Source organism: Homo sapiens, chromosome 1 (genome assembly GCF_000001405.40).
Source record: "Homo sapiens chromosome 1, GRCh38.p14 Primary Assembly".
NCBI classification, from domain to species: Eukaryota; Metazoa; Chordata; class Mammalia; order Primates; family Hominidae; genus Homo; species Homo sapiens.
In genome coordinates, this window is record NC_000001.11 from 160,138,451 (window position 1) to 160,156,627 (window position 18,177).

The 18,177-nt window shown below is 44.4% G+C and overlaps 2 protein-coding genes across 4 annotated transcripts in view; both read left to right on the plus strand.

The window, feature by feature from the left end:
- ATP1A2 (ATPase Na+/K+ transporting subunit alpha 2) overlaps positions 1-5,141 on the plus strand; it is a 27,833-nt gene extending 22,692 nt beyond the window's left edge. For both annotated transcript variants that reach the window (NM_000702.4, XM_047421286.1), the window contains 3 exons: positions 1,190-1,291; positions 1,443-1,534; positions 2,844-5,141. In NM_000702.4, the coding sequence (NP_000693.1) occupies positions 1,190-1,291; positions 1,443-1,534; positions 2,844-2,872 (223 nt within the window). In that variant the 3' untranslated portion in view covers positions 2,873-5,141. The remainder of the gene's footprint in view (positions 1-1,189; positions 1,292-1,442; positions 1,535-2,843) is intronic.
- ATP1A4 (ATPase Na+/K+ transporting subunit alpha 4) overlaps positions 13,153-18,177 on the plus strand; it is a 35,378-nt gene continuing 30,353 nt past the window's right edge. Inside the window, exons 1-4 of one of the 2 annotated variants that reach the window (NM_144699.4) lie at positions 13,153-13,737; positions 14,715-14,774; positions 16,595-16,798; positions 17,595-17,708. In NM_144699.4, the coding sequence (NP_653300.2) occupies positions 13,591-13,737; positions 14,715-14,774; positions 16,595-16,798; positions 17,595-17,708 (525 nt within the window). In that variant the 5' untranslated portion in view covers positions 13,153-13,590. The other variant, XM_011509582.2, reaches the window with a different exon arrangement.

Below are 18,177 nucleotides of genomic sequence, written 5' to 3' on the forward strand. Positions count from 1 at the left end.
ATGTGGCCTTTACAGAAGAAAATAAGGAGGTCCTTAGTGAGTGAAAATTTGGAAATCACTGGCTTGAACCAAAAAGAGGTACCTTGTGTAAGAATACAAAAGATGGAGTAGCCGGGGACAGTGGTTCACACCTGTAATCCCAGCACTTTGGGAGGCTGAGACAGGAGAATCAATTGAGCCCAAGAGTTTGGTACTAGCCTGGGCACATGGTGAAACTCTATCTCTACAAAAAATATAAAAATTAGCAGGGCGTGGTGGCACACACCTGTAATTCCAGCTACTGGAGAGGCTGAGGCAAGAGGGTCACTTGAGCCCAAGAGGTGGAGGTTACAGTGAGCTGTGATCGTCCAGCCTGGGCAACAGAGTGAGACTCTGTCTCAGAAAAAAAAAGTGGAGTAATAATGTGACTGAACATTTTCCAGGTCTGTCACTGAACATTTCAGTGACAGAACATTGCAGAGCTTTTCACGTGTTATCTCCCTTAATTTTCCCAGCAACCCTATGATAAAAAGGTAAAATCTCCATTTGATAGAGAAGGAACGTGAGGCTCAGAGAAATTCAACATTGCCTGCAACCCAAAGCTAGTCAATGGCAGAACTGGGAATAGACACCACCTGTCTGACTGCAGAAACTGCCCTGAGAACCTCCTTATTCTATCCTGCTTTTCAATTCTGATAAAGTGAACATATATTAACCACTTATTATGCAGTGATCCCCTTTACATTCTCTGAATTAAATATCTATAATGAAACCACCACCAGGAACTGTGGGAGATGCTGAGACGGTAGAAGACATACATGGGCCCTGCACTGAAGGAGCTTTCAAGCATCTTGCTGGGGAGACACACTTTCATGGGCCCTGTGCCTGGAGCAATAACAAGATCATGAGACAGGCCCCATGTTGACCACCGTGTCTCCAGTACAGAACACGTCACCCAACACCTAGAAACAATTATTTAATGAATGAATATACGTGCAATAGACAACATTCGGACGTAAACTCAGTAAGCAGAAAAACAAATAACATCTTCCTTTGGTTACATAAAGCATGAGAAGAGGCTGTTGGAAGAAGACATGCGACTATGTCGTTTAGAATTCTCTCTCCTCTTTCCCTTGCACCCCAGGGGTATCCCAGGATCTCTGCCTCCATGATCCCCCTTCACCTGCCACCTCCTTTCTTTGCCTTTCAGGAACAAGATCCTGATTTTTGGGCTCCTGGAGGAGACGGCGTTGGCTGCCTTTCTCTCTTACTGCCCAGGCATGGGTGTAGCCCTCCGCATGTACCCGCTCAAGTGAGTGTCTCTTTCGGGCGGCCTGAGTAGTCATACGGGGGGCCTTCAGCCCCCTCCAGGATCCAAGTTCTGATCGCTTTGAATGCTCCTTTATGTGACAGCCACCAAGCCAACCTCTGATGCTGCTGACACTCTCCTCCATTGCTTTCAGAGTCACCTGGTGGTTCTGCGCCTTCCCCTACAGCCTCCTCATCTTCATCTATGATGAGGTCCGAAAGCTCATCCTGCGGCGGTATCCTGGTGGTAAGCCCCTCCACATTCCCCCCAGCAAAGTGCAAGCCCCACCACCAGCTCCTCCCTCCAGGACCACACGCAGACTCCACTCCCACTACTGGTTCCTGCTTCTGTTCCTCAACACCCTCAGATCCTGGGGTCCCAGGTCCCAGGAGCCCTGACTCTTTCGAACCTGTTGTCTCTGCCCTCTTCCCATCAGATTCTAAACCCCGCCTAACTCACAGTTGGTCTCCGAGGCCCTCCACCTTCCACCTGAAACCACAGAACATCAGAATTAGAAGGGCCTTTCCAGGTCACCTAGTCCCACGTCCATATTTTACAGATAGAGGAGGCTCAGAGGTGAATCTGTTCAGGGTCGTAAAGCAAAGAATAGCAGGACTGGTACTAGAACCCAGGCCTCCTGATCCCCACTCATCAACCGACAAGTTATTGTTTTTCCTACAAGCGTTTTTTAATCACTTAGTAGAGGTTAAAATATGATGGCTTACAAACCAAATACTGTCCAGGAATACTGTTTGGTTTGACCTGTGCCATATTTTGTGTGTGTGGGGGGAGGAGGGTGGATTAATTGGTCCGATATAGAAAATTTAGGGTCTTTCACATAAAATCTGAATTCGACTTCTCCTGAAGATCAGAAGAGCTGTTAATCCCATGTCCACATCTCTGCACAGCAAGAATGGACAGCTGCTCCCTTAGACTCTCGTTCGTCACCTGAAGAGGCCCTGTGGGCGTTTGCATTTTCACCCTCGACCTATTCTGCCCCAGCCTCCAATGTGCTAAATACAAGTCTCCCCTAAAGGCAGGTTCACCCTCCCTTCCTTTAACCTATGGCCCCAGCTCACTGGACCTCCTTCTCCTCCCTTTCACCTTCTTTTTTTTTTTTTTTTTTTTTTTTTTTTTGAGACGGAGTCTCGCTCTGTCGCCCAACCAGGAGTGCAGTGCAGTGGCACGATCTCGGCTCACTGCAAGCTCCGCCTCCTGGGTTCAAGCAATTCTCTTGCCTCAGCCTCCAGAGTAGCTGGGATTGCAGGCGCATGCCACTATGCCCGACTAATTTTTTGTATTTTTAGTACAGACAGGGTTTCACTGGGTTAGCCAGGAGTCTTGATCTCCGCCTGCCTCAGCCTCCCAGTATGCTGGGATTACAGGCATGAGCCACTGCACCCAGCCTCCTTCCACCTTCCTAAGCCACTTCCCCCAGTGCCCTTCACCAGGCTTCTCCTTCCACCTGGCTTCAGCGACCCAAGCCCCTAGGAAATTGATCTCTTGCCTCCTTTTAAGCTCATGCTGCAATCTCCACTCCCAATCTCTCTAACAGGCTGGGTGGAGAAGGAGACATACTACTGACCCCATTGGAAGAAGAACCAGGCATGGAAAGATGGGGAGCTCTGGAGGTGTTGTGGGGATGGTGATGGAGAGGGATGGAAATAACGGGTGGCATTGGGTGGCAACATTTGGGGAGAGATAATGAGGCAACTCAGCAGGCTAAGTTGCGGGGTATATAAATTGGGGTGATGACCCCATAGACCTAACTGTGAACAATCAGATTAGACACTATGTGTTAGAGTCCCCCCGACCAGATCCTTTTCCATCCCACTCCACTATGTTGTCTATTTTTTCTGAGGAATTAAGGGTTACCCCACCCTGCCCACTCCCATCCCTTCAACCCCACTTCCTACTGTAATAGATCAGCATCCAAAAGCAGGAACCCATCTAAACCAGAAGGAAGCCCTCTCAGATCACCCCAGCCTCACTCCATTTCCCACTTCCACCCCCGTTAGCTTCCTGCAGGACTCTATCCCTGGCTTCCCCTTCAGACCTTGCAATCACAAAAGGTTCTTCTGGTGAGTGCAAGAGCCTGAGACTGGAAAAGGTGGACTTGTCTCCCAGTCGAGGCTGGTAAGGGACCTTCAGGGAGAGCTGGGCAGACAGGTGGGAGATGGAGGTAGGGCTGGCTGGAGGAAGGAAACAACAAAGGAAGTGAGGTAGTGCCAATGACAGGACATTTGACATGAGTCTCCAGATAGATGTCGTGGACTCCAGCTCTACGTCCCACATTTTAGAATACCCCACCAGCAGAACAAACTCAGATCTCATCAGGGTAGCAGCAGAGGCAGGACCAGAAGGCAATCAAGAGCTTCCAGAAATGCCACACTTGTGTGCCACAGAGTTCCCCGCTGACCCTTGGTTAGGGGTCCTCTTAGTCCACAAGGTCCGGATGTCACTCATGTACTTAATAACACTTCACCTTCTGTAATACTAAGTCCTCAGAGCTCCATGCTGTTCTGAAAGGGATGGCCACAAGTTCTTTCCCAGCCTCTTCCATTCCCTTTCTTTTCATGCCCATCCCGATGAACCTGCATCATTCCCCGACACTGCCAAGCCAACCCTGGAAAAGGAGTTCGCTGGCCATTGGCTAGAATCAGGGTGGAGAAGTTCCCTGAACCTTCCTGTCTCCCAGGGACATGTATGCTTCCAGGGACAAGCTTAGGTCATGAACATGGTCAGAACCTTTGGACAAGAGGAAAAATACTAAGAGATTTGCTTTTTCTGGGTGCGGTGGCTCATGCCTGTAATCCCAGCACTTTGGGAGGCCGAGGCAGGTGGATCATGAGGTCAGGAGTTCGAGGCGAGCCTGGCCAACATGGTGAAACCCTGTCTCTACTAAAAGTACAAAAAATTAGCCAGTCATGGTGGCACACGCCTGTAATCTCAGCTACTCAGGAGGCTGAGGCAGGAGAATTGCTTGAACCTGTGAGGAAGAGGTTGCAGTGAGCTGAGATCGTGCCATTACACTCCAGCCTGGGCGAAAGGGTGAGACTCCATCTCAAAAAAAAAAAAAATGATTTGCTTTTGACGTCTTAGGTGGCAGGGCTGTTCCCTCCAGGCAAATGCCCTTCAAACCGACGATCATTGTGCCCACTTACCCTGGGCTGGAGAGTTGGTTTCAGGTTCCTACAGGAGATAGCTTTCTTTCCCTTACTCCCTATCTAACACTTTTGCTCTGCAGGCAGCCTTGCCCATTCTCTAAGCCTGGCTTAGAAGGCACTGGGAATGTCCTGTAGAGAGAGACCTAGATAGGTCATGCAAGTGAGAAAGACATCTGAGGAAAATGGAAGACCTAAGGCAGACAGGAAGGAAGCACAAAAGACAAGCATTGGGTCAGACCCATAAACCACCTCCCAAAGGCTGTCATTTCATTGCACTGGAATTTTGCTTTATCAGAAGCAAGGAAGTAAGGGAGTCATTGCCTTGGGCCTGGGAATCTAAGTGGGAGACAATATTAATTTGGATCCGATTAATTGGAGATTACTAACTGTGGACAAAAGTTTATCTTTGCACAATCAATAAAAATGGCATTTTTTTAGTAAATTAAGAGCATAAACAATATTGCTAGAGGTGGCATGTTTAGTCTACCAAAAACAATACTTTTCAGGCACTTTAGAAATATCCTTTTAGAAGCAGCGAGTGCATGGGCTAATTATCATCAATCTTTATGTATTTGTTAAAGAAACATCTACAGGATCTTTATTGGTGACCTTTTGTAAGACATTAGTTTGAGGTACTACCTATGTACTTGAAAATAATAAAGTGGCATTTCTTTATGAAAAAAAAAGAAATCTCTTCCATAATTCAGATTTCTACACTTTATACTTGCCTCCCTCCTAAATCGTGATATTGAAATATGTGCTGTGGCAGAACTCGGCTTGTAGGGAAAGCAACAAAGAGATAGCAAGTGTCAGGGATGGGAGGGAAATGGTCTGGGAGCAGATGATGTCCGTGGAGAAAGCAAGAGGGGAAGAAGTTAGGTTGCAAAATAACCTACAAGAAACTATAGCAGGAGCCTCCTTCCTCATGCTGATCCCACCCTAAGAGCCACAAGAGTTTGTCCAGGACAGGGAGGGGCCTGTGAGTCTATTAAGAACAAGATCCTCAGGGGCACTTCTGCTTTTTCTGTTCCAGACCAAAATCAGGCCATTCTCTATCTGATGGGATGGGGGAAGGAGATAGTGGGTTGAGGAGCCCAAGAGTCAACACCAATTCACAATCTGTACTTCATGCAGAGCTTTGTCCTGGGTGCTCTCTTTAAGGGGTGGGGGTAAAGTGGATGCAATCCTTGAAATTCACCTGAGTAGTAGACATCAGAAACCATCATGGACAGAATGTAATGAGCAGTAGGGGGGACGCTTGTGTGCTGGAGATGGAGGGGTGGGTGGGTGGGTGTGCATTGCTCCAGGGGGGCCCTGGGAATGGGAGAGAGAAAGACACCAACTCTTACAACCTATGCCAGGATTTCAGAATAACGGTCAGAAGTCAATTCTTGCCCAAGCCATATTGCAGCCCCTTTATTATGACTCTTAACAGTGTCATTAATGACAGTTATAGTTAGTAGTGATTATAAGAGCCTTAATCACAGCTCATTTTGTGCCATAACTATGCCAAAATTTTATTTGTATAGTCTCCGTTCATCCCACCACAGGGCCTTTATTCTTGATGGTCCCTCTGCCAGGAACACTTTTCCCTAGTTATTCACATGCCTGGCTTTGTCACTTCATTCAGATCACTCCTTAAACATCAGTAAGATCCTCACAGAGGACCTCAAATAAAATGACTTCCTGGAACCTCTTTCTCTGTTCTCTTCGTTTTTGTTCATAAATACTTATTACCTTAAATTTAGATAGAAAGACAGCTAGATGTAATATTTAGAAAGATATACATGTATTTTGTTGCTGTTTATGCTTTTGTTTGTCTGACTCCTCCAGTATAAGTTCCATGAAGACAGAGACTCTATTTCTTTTGTTCAACACCTTTATCCTTAGCACCTAAAACATCTGACACACGTTAGACAATTAATAAATATGTGTTGGATGACTGAAAGGATCCTCACAGTAATTCAGTAAGATGGAGACTATTATTATCTCCAATTTACAGATGAGAAAACTGGTGCTCAGAAAGTTAAATTATTATTCAAAGTTTCAAAGGTAGTAAGCATCTGAAGCAGGATTCAAACCTAGGCCAGTCTGACTCCAGGGCCTGCCCTCTTAACCATGCCATGCTCTGCAACTGCAAGAACAGAAAGCCTATGTGCATGGACAGAGCCTGACTAGCCCAATGGCTCAGTGAACTGGGGAGGCTGCCAAGGGAGCCAGGAATTTGTGGACAATTAACATTTGAGCAGCAGGGGCAAGGCAGATCCGTGAGAAAGGGAGAAGATATGATCTCAAAGATGCGGTAGGGGGTTAAGAAAAAGATCCAGGCCAGGCACAGTGGCTAACGCCTGTAATCCCAGCACTTTGAGAAGCCAAGGTGGGCAGATCACTTGAGGTCAGGAGTTCGAGACCATCCTGGCCAACATGGTGAAACCCTGTCTTCCACTAAAAATACAAAAATTAGCCGGGTATACACCTGTAATCCCAGCTACTCAGGAGGCTGAAGTAGAAGAATGGCTTGAACCCAGGAGGCAGAGGCTGCAGTGAGCCGAGATTGTGCCACTATACTCCAGCCTGGGTGACAGAGCAAGACTTCATCTCAGAAAAAAAAAAAAAAAAGAAAGAAAGAAAAGAAAAGAAAGAAAGAAAAAGATCCAAAGAGATTTGATGGTCTGCTAGAGGATTTTAGCAAAAAGAAGAATCTTACTATTGAATGTAATCTGAGAAGCTAAGGCCAACTTTTGACCCAGGCAGAAAGTCTTTCCATGGCATTTTCTTTTTATCTACAGAATAGGAAATGTGATCATGCATCAGAGATAATCAGAGATAGTCACTAAATATTCATAATGCTAAGAACGCAGCAAAAAATAGGAAGAAAGTGGTTAGATCAATATCAAAGGAAGACATTTAATACAAAGTGAGTCTTTCAAAAATATCCTTGGCTCCAGTGAATTCAATGAAGGATTTTTTGCAAATTCCTCAAAGAATTTCCTTATATTATTTAAAATGTGCTGGAATATAAAAAATTATTTTGTGTTTTGTGTTGCCCAGCCTATTTTATGAGATAAGTACTATTTTGTTAAAATTTTATATTTAATATAGATAATAAATTGACTACCCCAAATGGTGGAATGCAAGGATAGCATATTACAAGGAAAATGTTACAAACAACTAACATTAACTAGACAAAGGATGAAATAATCATTTCAAAAAAGGTTGAGGAGGCTATCAGTAAAATTCAGTATCTATTACTGATAAAAATGTTGGAGGAAAAAGTGTATCAGAAAATATAATCATGGGCCAGTCGCGGTGGCTCACGCCTGTAATCCTAGCACTTTGGGAGGCCGAGGTAGGTGGGTCACCTGAGGTCAGGAGTTTGAGACCAGCCTGGCCAACGTAGTGAAACCTTGTCTCTACTAAAAATGCAAAAATTTGCGCGTGGTGGCACGCGCGCCTGTAATCCCAACTACTCGGGTGGCTGAGGAAGGAGAATCACTTGAACCCGGAAGGCATAGGTTGCAATGAGCTGAGATCCCGCCATTGCACCTCCAGTCTGGGGTACAAGAGTGAAACTCGGTCTCAAAAAAAAAGAAAATGTAATCATGTTCAGAGAAGAGAGGAAAGGATGTAGTAAGTCTAGAAAACCAATAACAGCAACTATAACAAATAATTGCAATAAAACATTTGAAATCCTCGATAAGCAGTTTGTGTTTAAAAGTTCTACAAAGGCCGAGCGCGGTGGCTCACGTCTGTAATCCCAGCACTTTGGGAAGCTGAGGTGGGCGGATCTCTTGAGGTCAGGAGTTTGAGACCAGCCTGGCCAACATGGTGAAACCCCGTCTCTACTAAAAATACAAAAAAAAAATTAGCCAGGCATGGTGGCGGGTGCCTGTAATCCCAGCTACTTGAGATGCTGAGGTTTGAGAATCACTTGAATCCAGGAGGCAGAGGTTGCAATGAACCGAGATGGTGCCACAGCACCCCAGCCTGGGCAACAGAGACTCCATCTCCAAAAAAAAAAGTTCTAAATAAGCCAGGTGCTATGGTTCACGTCTACAACCCCAGCACTTTGGGAAGCTGACGCAGGAGGATTGCTTGAGCCCAGGAATTTGAGACCAGCCTGGGCAACACAGTGAGACCTCATCTCTATTAAAAAAAAAAAAAAAAAAATTAGCCTGGGGTGGTGGCCCACACCTATGGTCCCAGTCACTTGGGAGGCTGAGGGAGGAGGATCGCTTGAGTCTGAGAGGTTGAAGCTGCAATGAGCCATGGTTGGACCACTGCACTCCAGCCTGGGTAACAGAGCAAGACTCTGTTTCAAAAAATAAAAATAAATAAATAAAAATTCTAAATAAATAAAACTTTGTTTTTAGCGAGCATAACTCCCTAAAAATCCAAGAAATTCAGCCAAAACAAAGCAACAGCATCAATAACAAAAAAAATCCTAGAAGCAATAAATTCAAAGTTACAGGGTATATGGGTATCAGTTTTCAAAGAAGCAAATGTATCCCTAAATATTAGGGAGACAGAAAATACAGCATAAAGAGCTTCTATTTACAATAGAATGAAAACAAATTACGCTCAAGGTTTACTGTGTGCAGCACATAGTAACTATTAAAGAAAATTTAAAAGTACAATGAGAAAAATAAAAAAACATGAATTCATGGAAAGCTAAACTTGACTGCCATTTGGGAAGGCAGAACGTAGTAAAGATAAAAATAAGTTACTATGAAAGAGTCAATTCAATATCAATTAAAATCCTCGCTGCATTTTTATAAAACATGACATATTGGTTGTGACATTCAGCTGCAAGAGTAATCAGGCAAGAATCTCAGAGGTTTTTTCTAAGTAATTATGAAGCAAATGAATAGATCACTGATGCTAACATATTTACCCCAACAGATTTTAAAACACATCAGACCACTGGCCGGGCGCGGTGGCTCACGCCTGTAATCCCAGCACTTTGGGAGGCCAAGGTCGGCAGATCAAGAGGTCGGGAGTTCAAGACCAGCCTGGCCAACATAGTGAAACCCTGTCTTTACTAAAAATACAAAAATTAGCCAGACATGGTGGCGCATGTCTGTAGTCCCAGCTACTCAGGAGGCTGAGGCAGGAGAATCGCTTGAACCCGGTAGGTGGAGGTTGCAGTGAGCTGAGATTGCACCACTGCACTCCAGTTTGGGCAACAGAGTGAGACTTCGTCTCAAAAAAAAAAAAAAAATCAGACCAAAGTGGCAATTATCAAAACCTTGTAGCATTAAGATAAAACCTGAAAACTCATTAGTCATTCAACATCTATTCAGGGACTATTTGTGGACCAGCTGCCCTGTGCCAAGCACTATCCTAGGAGCCAGGTATATAGCTGTGGAAAAAAACAGGGAAGGTCCCTAGGGTCATGGAGAACCAGACAAGTCAACAAGACAAGTCAATCAGACAAGTCAACAGTTAACAGGCAGGATAATTTCAGAGGGAGAGAAGTGTTGTGAAGATCAAAAGTGATAGAGAGAGGGCTGGCGCCGGAGGGGCTGTTTTGGATTTAACTATGAGAGAAGGCCTCTCCGAAGAGGTGGACTTTTGAGCTAAGATCTCTAGAACAAAATGAGGTTTCTAAAAATAATTTCAATTGATTGTATCTCCATAAAGTTGCTTTTGGGCAATGCCCATCTGCAAGACTGAGCTAAGTGTTATTGTCACATAGATGATGCATAGAAAAACATATGAATTTTAACTTTAATTCTAACCTTCTTCTTAAGAATTTTATGTTCATCTACATTAAACACAAAGACTGGGAGAAAACATTTGTGTTATATATGACAAGGGTTTCCTACAAATCAATATAAAAAAGAAAACAATGGAAAATTGGGCAAATTGTAAGAATGACAATTTACAAAATAAATAAATAAAGTCCAAGACCAGGCATGGTGGCTCATGCCTGTAATCCCAGCACTTTGGGATGCCCAGGCAGGCGGATCACCCAAGGTCAGGAGTTCAAGATCAGCCTGGCCAACATGGCAAAACCCCATCTCTACTAAAAAATACAAAAAAATCAGCTGGGTATGGTGGCGTGTGCCTGTAGTCTCAGCTACTTAGAAGGCTGAGGCACGAGAATCGCTTGAACACAGGTGGTGGAGGTTGCAGTGAGCTGAGATTGCACCGCTGCACTCCAGCCTGTCAAAAGAAAGAAAGAGAGAAAGAAAGGAAGGAAGAAAGGAAAGAGAGAAAGAAAGAAAAGAAGAAATGAAAGAAAGAAAGAAAACCAGAAAGCCAGTAAACATAAGAGAAAATGCTCACATTGACAATTTAAAAATGCAAATTAAAACTACAAGATATCAAAGTTCACTGATTATAATAGTAAAAATCAAGGTCATCTAGCATAATCAAAGGTGTGGAAGGCAGACATTCTTGCATCCTGTTGTTGGGATGCAGATAGATAAACACTTTTAAAGACCAATTGGCAGAATCTTTTAAGATTGTTAATGAGTGTACTCTATGATTCAGCAACAGGAACTGATTCTACAGAAATAGAAGCTCAAGGGCCTGATGATATCTATGTGCAAGAATGACACTCTAGCAATTTTATTAATGGTTAAAAAAATGGAAAATATCTCATAAATCCATCAGTAATGGGAATGATTGAATAGAGCATGGTCAATACAGAATATGGAAGCCTCACAGCACTGAAAAAAAGAAGCTTTATGTACATGACAGGTTGGTAGAGAGTTGAATGATTGTTTAAAAGTTGAAAAATACCTCCTTTTAGATATCTATTTGTATAAACATAGAAAAAAGACTGGAAGGACATGCAGCACATTGTTACCAGCAGTAACTTCAGCAGTGGGGAGAATCTGAGTTTGGAGGGAGGGAAGGTGGGGCTTTCAATTTTTATCTTAAACATTTTTAATAGAGAAGAAAAATCCAATCTGTTAAAGAAATAGACGATCATTTATCCCAGCTGGGAAGGGAGCATTTCTATTTCTGAATATTCAAGGAGGATTGCATCAGCACCAAGATGAATGTTTCCAGATACAGTCATATTTTTAAAAAGCATGCCCAACCAAAATGCAATTAAATAAATATCAGGCCAGGCTTGGTGTCTCACTTATGTAATCCCAACATTTTAGGAGGCCAAGGCCAAGGATTGCTTGAGCCCAGGAGTTTGAGACCAGCCTGGGCAACACAGGGGCACCCCGTCTTTACTAAAATAAAATAAAAAAAATTAGCCGGGCATGGTGGCACATGCCTGTGGTCCCAGCTACTTGGGAGGCTGAGGTGGGAGGATCACTTGGACCTGGGAGGTTGAGGCTGGAGTAAGCCATAATCGCACCATTACACTCCAGCCTGGGCAACAAAGTGAGATCCTGTCTCAAAAAGTAAATAAACAAATATCAAACAACAGAATGGGAAAATCTATGTGACGTGCATAATTGAAAAATATATATAATGGTTGACAGAAAAGTATAGATGCTTCAGATTATTCTTGGAAGGAGGTAGAATCCTATGGACATGCAAAACATATATACAGTTAATATAGTCAAAGCACTTACTGAGACACCAGAGAAGGTCAATGGAAGAGGTAAGTACATCATTTTAAAATGAGAAAATGCAACGCTATCACATGGAAAAGCATATTTTTACCCTCACTGAGAAGAGCTGCATATTAATCCACAAATAAAACTACTACTGAATTCAAGCTACCTATTGAGCACATACTATATATGTCACATAGTGCTTTTTGTAGAGCACCTCACTTAAGGTAGAAGGTATCCTCTTTTAAAAATAAGAAAAGAGAGGTACAGAGGTTAGGTAACTTGCTCAAAGCCACACAGCTGACAAGTGGAGGAGTTGGGATTGAAATCCAGGACTGGTTCCAGAGCCCAAGATCTGATCTATTCTGCTAGCTGATCTCCTAAAATTAAAAGATCAAACCCAATGTTAGTGGAAAAGTGTGCCTTGCTAAAAAACACACACAGAGTACCTGCTTTTTTTTTTTTTTTGAGATGGAGTCTCAAAAACAGACGGGAGAATATTAGTCCAAACTGCAACTGCACCATTTTGTAAGCTCCCTGCTATGGTTTTTTGTTTGTTTGTTTGTTTGTTTGTTTGTTTGTTTGTTTGTCTGAGATGGAGTCACTCTGTCACCGAGGCTGGAGTGCAGTGATGCAATCTCAATTCACTGCAACCTCTGCCTTCTGGATTCAGATGTTTCTCCTGCCTCAGCCTCCCGAGCAGCTGGGATTACAGGTGCCCACCACCACACCTGGCTAAATTTTGTATTTTTAGTAGAGATGGGGTTTCACCATACTGGCCACGAAGGTCTCGATCTCAGCCTCCCAAAGTGCTGGGATTACAGGCATGAGCCACCGCGCCCGGCCGAATACCCGCTTTATTTTTGAGTCATCTATTTGGCATACCTCTAAGCCTCCAAAGTCTGCAGGACCACACAAGAACTTTGTTCTAGTTCTGCCCTCAGACTGAAACTCTTTCTGTAGCAGGGCCTGCTCCAATCGTCCTCAAACCCAAAGACTGAGACTTCTAGGTTCTTGGTTAAAACCTTCATGAGGCCTTTGCGACAGCAGACCTGGACCATCGCCAAGGCAAGACTTCTGGATTCTTGGTTAGAACTTTCAGGAGGCCTTTGTGATGCCAGACCTGGGTCATTGCCCCAGCAACCACAGGGCCTGGGACTGGGGGGTTCCCAGATCCTTGAAGCTCACTCCGCCTCCTCACTCTCACTGCATTTCCCACCTTCCTGTGGGCCTTGCGGCATCTTCATCACTGAGGCACCTGGTTACGCTTCACCTCTTGTTTCCTGCCCTCACTGCATTCCCTCACCTCTACCTTTTTATCCTTCCACCCTAGGCTTCTCTCCTCCCTCTTCCCTCACTCCTGACTCTTCCTCTTCCCAGCGGACGGCTGGAGGACCGCTCAGTCTCTCCTCTCTCACTTCCCTTCCTCTCTCTCACCTTCACCACCCAACACCTCCCTCCCTGCCTCTTTCTTTCTGCTCCCTCATTCTCTCCCCACCACTCTCTTCTCGTGGCCCCCTTGCCCGCGCGCCCTCTTCCCTTCCCCTTGCCTCACTCTCTCAGCTTTCTTCCCACAGTTGAGCTCGGGCAGCTCTTTCTGGGGATAGCTATGGGGCTTTGGGGGAAGAAAGGGACAGTGGCTCCCCATGACCAGAGTCCAAGACGAAGACCTAAAAAAGGGCTTATCAAGAAAAAAATGGTGAAGAGGGAAAAACAGAAGCGCAATATGGAGGAACTGAAGAAGGAAGTGGTCATGGTGAGGCCACCCAAAGTGGGCGCTGACAGCTGCCCTCTGAAAACACTCCTCCACCTATCTTTAACATCTTACCTTGAGAATGAAACACACAGGCCAGAGCCACATCTCTTCTCTGTTAGGCTTTGGAGGGAAGGAGAGGGTTAAAAAAAAAAAAAAAGATACACACAGAGAGACAGGGCAGCTCAACAGCAAGCACAGGTATATTGCAGACACCTGTGGAAGTGGGGGATCAGCTTAATTCCACAGTCCACTGCCACTTACAGGCTGGGTACTTATAGGGATGGATGGGAGGAGTCTGGGCTGTATGGCCTGCTGCCTGGCAGGATATCGATAAGATGTTCTCATGATGAGGTGATTTTTGGCCCTTGTTTCCACAGAATATAATCATGGTATTCCCTGGACCTTTGCCCAGCAGGATGTGATAGGGATGTTTCTTTAGTGGGGTCTTTGTCTTTAATTGGGCCTTCGTCTGCCCTGTGGTCAGGTGGTTAGGCAGGCTGTTTCTCTGGCCCGAACCCCCGTGAAATGTTTCACTTTGACCAAGGCCTGTAAAATAGTGGGGAGCTAGGCCGGGCGTGGTGGCTCACACCTGTAATCCCAGCACTTTGGGAGGCTGAGGCAGGCAGATCACCTGAGGTCAGGAGTTTGAGACAAGCCTGGCCAACATGGTGAAACCCCGCCTCTAAAAATACAAAAATTAGCTGGTCCTGGTGATGGGCCCCTGTAATCCCAGCTGCTTGGGAGGCTGAGGCAGGAGAAACACCTGTTGGGAGGCAGAGGTTGCAGTGAGTCGAAATCGCACCACTGTACACCAGCCTGGGCAACAGAGTGACTCCATCTCAAAAAAAGAATTGCAGGGAGCTTACAAAATGGAGCAGTCTCAGTTTGGACTAACATTCTCCAGTCTGTTTCTCCCCCTCTCCCTGGAAATGACCTGGGCCACCCCCTGTCCCTCAATGCCTCTACTGTCCCCTCAGGATGATCACAAATTAACCTTGGAAGAGCTGAGCACCAAGTACTCCGTGGACCTGACAAAGGTGAGTAAGAAGCTCCCTGAGGAGGCAGAGAGTCTCCAACTCTGACTGTGAGGCTGCCAGGACAAAAGCTGAACTAGGAATCCAGCCCCCTAACTTCAAGTCCAACGTTCCCACCCCTCACCCTCTGCCTGGCCACGTTCCATGGACACTACCTGGAAAAAGCTGCAAATGGTAACTACCCTCAAAGAGAGTGTGGGACTAGATAAGAGAATAAGAATGCTTTAGGGCAGTGCTGGTCAAACGTCTTGTCCTTAGGTCTCCTTTACACTCTTAGAATTTATCTAGGACCGCAAAGAACTTGTGCTTATGTGGCTTAAGTCTGTCTATATTTACCATATTAGAAATTAAAATTGAGAGTTTTAAAATGTATTTCTCAATTCATTTAAAAATAACAAAAATAAAGTTATCATATATTCATATATGTTTTGACAAATAACTGTATTTTTCAAAACAAAAAAATTAGCAGCATCTTACATTTTTGCAAACCTCTTCAATGTCTTGCTTTTTAATAGAAGATAGCTGGATTCTCAAATATTTTCTGGATAAAATCTGTTGTGATGTTATGCCAGTTGGCCTTCAGAAAATTCCACTATATACTCTTAAGAAAATGAGAGTAAAAAAAGGCAAACAATGATTTAGTATTACTATGAAAATTGACCTTGTGGACCCCCTGAAAGGGTTTTGGGGCCCCTCGGGTGTTTCAGGCAGAGGTTGGGGAGTGGCTGGTGGTGATTGGCAGGTTCTACTATCATTTTCATTAACAGGAAAAAGCACATAAGCTTGTGCACAAGAGTGGAATGAGAATCTATGCATTCATGTTTTTTGTTAGTATTCTTTTCTATTTATGTTTTTTAAAAATTTATGGGCCAGGTGCCGTGGCTCACACCTGTAATCCAAGGCAGGCAGATCACTTGAGGTCAGTAGTTGGAGACCAGCCTGGCCAACATGGTGAAACCCCATCTGTATTAAAAATACAAAAATTATCCTGGCATAGTGGCACACATCTGCAATCTCAGCTACTTGGGAGGCTGAGGCAGGAGAATCACTTGAATGCAGGAGAATCACTTGAACCTGGGAGATGGAGGTTGCAGTAAGCCGAGATCATGCCACTGCACTCCAGCCTAGGTGACAGAGCAAGACTCTGTCTCAAAAAAAAAAATGGATATGTAGATGTACATATTTATGGTATACATGTATTATTCTGATATAAGCATACAATGTGTAATGATCAAATCAGGGTATTTAGGATACCCATAACCTCAAACATTTATCATTTCTTTGCATGGGAACATTCCAAATCCACTCCTCTAATTATTTTGATATCCATAATAAATTATTAACTATAGTTGCCCTATTGTGCTACCAAACACTAGATCTTATTCCCTCTAAGTTGGAGAGTCAAAGCGTGGTGTTAATATGTTATCAACATTAAGTATTATATTTCATCATGACATTGGCCCTGCACATTATAATTATCTGTATGTATTTATCTCCCCACTGGAGCACCTTAAGGGTAGGGACCATTCTTATTCATGTTGGTATCCTCAGCACCTAGGACCCGAGATAGGTTCTCAAGTTCAAAAAGGTTTGTGAATCAATCCATAAACAAAAACCTTCCTATGTAAGCATGCTAAATGACATCCCTCCTCTAATGCAAATTTTGAAACCTCACCTTATCCAGGAAGAACTTCCAGACTGACCTTCTGAAAGCGTCTTTAGTCTCTAGACCCATTCTGGGGCTCCAAATGTCAGGTTCCCTTTTGCTATGGCTGTTCCTCTTTTCACAGCTCTCTATCCAACCCTATTTCTTCTCTGCACAGGGCCATAGCCACCAAAGGGCAAAGGAAATCCTGACTCGAGGTGGACCCAATACTGTTACCCCACCCCCCACCACTCCAGAATGGGTCAAATTCTGTAAGCAACTGTTCGGAGGCTTCTCCCTCCTACTATGGACTGGGGCCATTCTCTGCTTTGTGGCCTACAGCATCCAGATATATTTCAATGAGGAGCCTACCAAAGACAACGTGAGTCTCTTCAGCTACTACTAGCCAGCCCTATCTCTGCTTAGCCCCAGACACTCTTTTGCTCAGCAGCCTAGCACTCCTGAAGTCCTCTGGCCCAAATCCCTAATTACATTATTACATTAATGTAATAATGTAATAAATGTACATTAATTATAAATGTAATTGATTGTAATTAATTACAATGTAATTGATTAATTACATTGTAATGAATGTAATTAATTATAAAATGTAATTAAATGTACATTAATGTAATAAATGTACATTACATAATAATGTAATAAATGTACATTAATGTAATAAACCAAAATCCCTAATACTCCACTTTCTAAGTTCCATCTTGGTTCCTCTCACCTTTTAATCTAAAAAGCTTCTGGTCCAGTTCCCTGAGGTGCACAATGTCCCCGAAAAACTTGCTGTTCTTTGATGACCTTCCCAATTGATCCCCAAAGCACTTTGCAGTCCCTTTCTCTTCTCCACAATTTTAACCTCATCTCCTTCCTCCCAGCCTCCCTCACAATCCACCCCCTCCATCCAGAGATTAGCCTTCCTGGAGAGAAAGATACAGGCCTTCTCTGACCAGGAATTTTGCTGACGGCTCACCATGGCTCAGGGTTCCTTCCCCAGGAAGCCAAGTGTACTGGTCCCACCTCAGATTCTTCTCTACCCCTCTGCTCTCAACTCAGTCTTACGGTCTCTTACACCTGGTGAAACTGCTGTGCCCCTTGCAGACTGATTTTCTGAGGATGAAGAAGACGACAAGGTCCCACTGATAAACGCTTTCTTTCCCCACCCTCAGCTCTACCTGAGCATCGTACTGTCCGTCGTGGTCATCGTCACTGGCTGCTTCTCCTATTATCAGGAGGCCAAGAGCTCCAAGATCATGGAGTCTTTTAAGAACATGGTGCCTCAGGTAGGATTGGAGTGGGAGGATCTAGTGGGAGCAGGAGCAGGATGTGGCCAAATACACAATGATGAAGTCCCGTGGAAAATTATATCCTATGATAAGTGAGCTGAGTGAGGTTGGTGATGAGGGGGTCAAGGTACTGTATCAGTCCTTAAAAGTACCTGGAAAAGCTGTGAAACCCTGAGAAAGACATAACGTCACCTATGAAGTGCTCTGATCTAGAAGGCAGAATCTGAATCTAAAGAGGAAACACCATACAAACCCCAAATAAGAACATTCTATTTTTTTAAAGAGACAAGTGTTGGTGGGGGTGGGAGCGGGGTGCGGTGGGGGGTGGCTGGATTCTTCAAATATCGATGACCTCAAAGACAAAGAACAGCTGTGGGGATGTTCCAGATTAAACAGACCAGGCATAGTGGCTCACGCCTGTAATCCCAGCACTCTGGGAGGCTGAGGCAACAGGATCACCCAGGAG